This window comes from Homo sapiens, chromosome 10 (assembly GCF_000001405.40).
Source record: "Homo sapiens chromosome 10, GRCh38.p14 Primary Assembly".
Classification (NCBI taxonomy): domain Eukaryota; kingdom Metazoa; phylum Chordata; class Mammalia; order Primates; family Hominidae; genus Homo; species Homo sapiens.
In genome coordinates this window covers 4,637,260-4,641,355 of record NC_000010.11, presented here as the reverse complement: position 1 = coordinate 4,641,355, position 4,096 = coordinate 4,637,260, and positions in this window count along the sequence as shown.

The window sequence follows — 4,096 nt, the reverse complement described above, 5'->3', positions numbered from 1 at the left end:
CATGTAGGTGGAACCTCAGGCATTAGTATTCCCATCACAGATGTTCAAGGGAATTAAAAACTCAGAGCCTACCAGAATGTTGTGCATACAACAGGAACTTAATAAATGAACATACACATCTATACCTATACAGACACATTCTTGTCTTTCTTGTAACCTGACTGGGTGACTTCAGTCCTTTAAATACGTAAACTCTAATTTATCCAAGAAGAATTTGTCCTAAGCATTTATAATTATATGCATTCTTTTCACCAAAACAGTCCATTGTAACAGAAAAAATAAAATTACATATCCAAGGCATGCCAAAAAAATACACATTTCTAAGCTAAGTGTCTGCCTTAATAAAATATTATGGTAATATTCCCATACCAACAATCATAGCCCTACAATTATTATGTTATGTTGTTCAATATTTTAATGGCTGCACAATATTTTCCTTTTTCTATTAAATATAATAAGGTTTGGCACTTACTATGAACTTCCTTCCTGAAGTTCATGCTGTCTAAATGTAAAGCAATATTGATATAATCATTACTTTATCACACATACTTTTGGTGTCATAATAACTCCTTGGATAATTTTGGATCAGTATCATCATGCTGACTACTAATTTACAAGAAAAATGTTCTATTAACTACTTATTGTATTGAAGATAGCCTTTATTTTGTCAAGAAGTATTTGTTATTGTTATAGAGAGTTTTGTGTCAAGATTATTCACATCTATCCAGAGCAGTATTAGAAATACCAGCAGAAGTTTCCTGTAGGACAATAATACCAGCATACAGTGGGTGTATCGGTAAGAAAAGTTCTCTTTCAACTATTCATTCTGTATGATAAATGATCGTTTTTTGGCATCAAACTTGATTTTTCCTAGGAGAATTGCTTCTCTTACCCTGAACCTTCTAATCTTGGCTGGGCTTTGAAGCAGGTGCCTTACCCTCTTCAAACCATACCTGGGCACATGACTTGAATTCTGAAAGAAGTAGCTTAATTTCTGAAAATTAGAGTGAACAGCAGCATTCTGAAAAAAGTGATTATTCCAAGTCCCTAAACCAGCAATCTTCAGAGCTGTCCCAGCTCCCTTCCTTTCTGAGGCTGGCTTTGGCATTTTCTCATTTATTTGAGGTACGCCATGTACTTCCAACACATTCCATTGTTCCTTGTTAGCCAAGTTTCTTCATGTTTCCTGCCAGCAAAGAACTCGAATAGGACAGGCCCTGTAATTGGGCAGGAGCCTATTAGCATGATCTCCAGAGAGGTCTGTAGACAAACTCTCATTCCAGGCATTCAATTCTAAGCTCAGAAACTGATGTGGACCATGCTCCATTGGTAGGGAGGCTGCTGGTGATAAATGGAAAGAAATCTGTTCCTAGCTGAGCACACTGTGACAGACCTGTGCATGATTATTATACCCTGAACAATTATCGTGCTGTGTGATTACATATTGACAACTTAAAACTAGCCCTAATAAAGGGTTCCCTAACAGATATCTATGCCGCTAGCCTACATGAAGAAATAACTGCCCCAGATTTGATATATATTTTCTCTTATGTATGGGTTTAAAGGAAGAGACTTCTAGGTCTAAAAGGTCATTTGCTCATTCCGACATCATCATGCACAACCGTGTAATTCCTGGTGATGATTTTGGCTTCTGGAAGTTTAAACTTCTGTTCTAGATAAATATTGATTTTTCTATCAGTTGTACCTATTCCGTCGCCTTCCTTCTGCATCTTTATGTATGCAGACCTTGTTTGGTTTTAGTCTTTTAGTTTGAGCAACTAGTAATGTGTCAATCCAATGGTTGATCACTTGTGATTTTTGTATATTGATCCAATTCTAAGTAATCTTTTCATAATTTTGTGTTATGCATTATTTCCTACATTTAAACATAGTAGCCTGCTTATTGTAAGAAAATAATTCAAATATTTAAATGTTAAAAAGTTGCCCTTAATGTTGGTTGTTTATTTGTTTATTTTTGTTTTTAAATAGAATTAGTTACCTATAAGACCTGGTTTCTAAATATAGCCCTTTCAAAAAGCCTTGTAACCATTAATATTCAAACTCAGATGCATTATTTTTTAAGTAGATACTAGCAAAACCTGTTGGGTTAACTCACAGAGTTGTTAAAATTGAATGCTACAGAATCAAAGATTTCTACTCCTGGAAGCAAATTTAGACTACAATAGTCCAAACCTGTCATTTTACAGATATAAAATTGAGGTCCAAAGAGTGTGAGTAAATTGTCAAGATTCGGGAGCTTTAAGGACACTGTAAAGGATATAAAATAGATTCTAAATGTAATGTGCAAACCAATGCAAAACGAGACAAAAAACAAAAAACCCAGAAACTGTAATGTGATGTAAAATGGAAGATTATATGCTTTCCATTAGTTCTTCGAATCAGTTTATTCCTAATATGGCACGTAGGGTGATTGAGGAGTAAGATGTGATTTGTGTAAGGGAAAGTACCCAAAGGCTGAGAACTCTGTCTGACAGAATTATAGAGATTGAAAGGAAACCTTTAGGAACGTTGTTTATATTTGACATAGATCACCTGTTTTTATATCTTTTCTATGAAATGATGGCATCTGTTAAAGTTGGAATAGTGAAAAAGAAAAGGGACTTCTGGAATAATTTGCGAGTTTTTACATTTGTATTTATCTTCATTCTTTCCTGAGAGGGAAAAATGAATTTGATAGATTGCATAATGTGTTTGACCTTATTAAGAGATGTTTTGCATTTATACGGAAGAGTTCGAAAAAATTAGAGATCGATGGTTAGAAAACTAGGGACATTTATTCATTCATACTTTAGTTTTTGCCTTTAACACATTTTACAGAGCTCCTCCATCAGGCATTGTTTTAGTGTACCAACAAGACAACGGCTGGGTGGTAGTTTGGGAAGTGTTGCAGCTGGCAGTTTGGAGGAATGGCAAAGGCGCCAGAGGCTGAGGCAGAACAACATTCAGAAGGGCTACAGATAGGCAGAGGGCAATCAGCCCAAGCCAGTGTAGGGCCTGCCCTTGACTACAGTGGAGGTGGGAAATCTTGGCAGGGCTTTGAGCAGAGACTTGTGTGTCAACAGGATCATGCTGGCTGCCCTGTTGAGAATGGAATGTAAGGGCAAGGACAGAAGGAATGTGATGGGTGAGTAGGATTATGTGTGACCTGAAGGGAAGAATTGTTTGTGCCTTGGATGCAACTGTGGTGAAAGGAGCCTAGACTGGGGACATATCTGAGGGTAAACCTGCCACGACTTGCAACCTGCATATGGGATAAAGAAAAGAGTGAAGGGAGAAGTCAAGTTTTTTGGCTTGGGGAAGAGGATGAAGTTCCCATTGGCAAATGTGAACAATTTCCTGCAAGAGGCATTTAGGGACCAGAGTGGAGGTCATGGAGGTTGTGTAAAATCAGAAGTTTCATTTGAAGCATAGTTATGGTAAATATCTATTAGTCATCCAAGTAGTCATGTAGGGTGGATGGTCCAATATTCAAGTTAGGATCCAAGAAAGAAGTCCAGGCTGAATGCAAAATATGGTGTTATTGGCAAGGAGATGATATTTAAGCCTTGCATGCAATCCAGGTCAGGAAGGGTGTAGGCATGGGTAGGATAGTGGGCTGGTCCAGGGGCTGATCCCCGCATTACTCCAGCCTTTTGTAGGTGAGGAGACAAAGGAAACCAGTGAGAGAGCGGAAGGAGTCACTAGCGAGGTCCAAGGAAAGCCAGTGTTCTGTGGGGTTTTAAAACAAAGTAAAGTGTTTTTAATGAGGGGCAAGTGATCAACTGTGGCAAATGTTGTCACTAACTCACGTATTAGGAAGATAAAAATTATCACTGGATTTAGTAACCTTGTTAAGAGCAATTTTCAGGAAATGGGGCAAAGCTCATCTGAGTAGGTTCAAGAGTGAATGGAAAGAGGATGTGGAGACAGCAAGGGCATGAACTTATTTTGGGAATGTCTTTGAAAAAAAGAGCAGGGAAATGGAATCATAGAAGCTGAAGTGGGGTCAGGAGAGGTTTATTTATTAATTTTTTGTATGCCTGTATACTAAATGGAATTATTTAGTAAGAGGAAAAAGGAAATAAAAAAATCATTG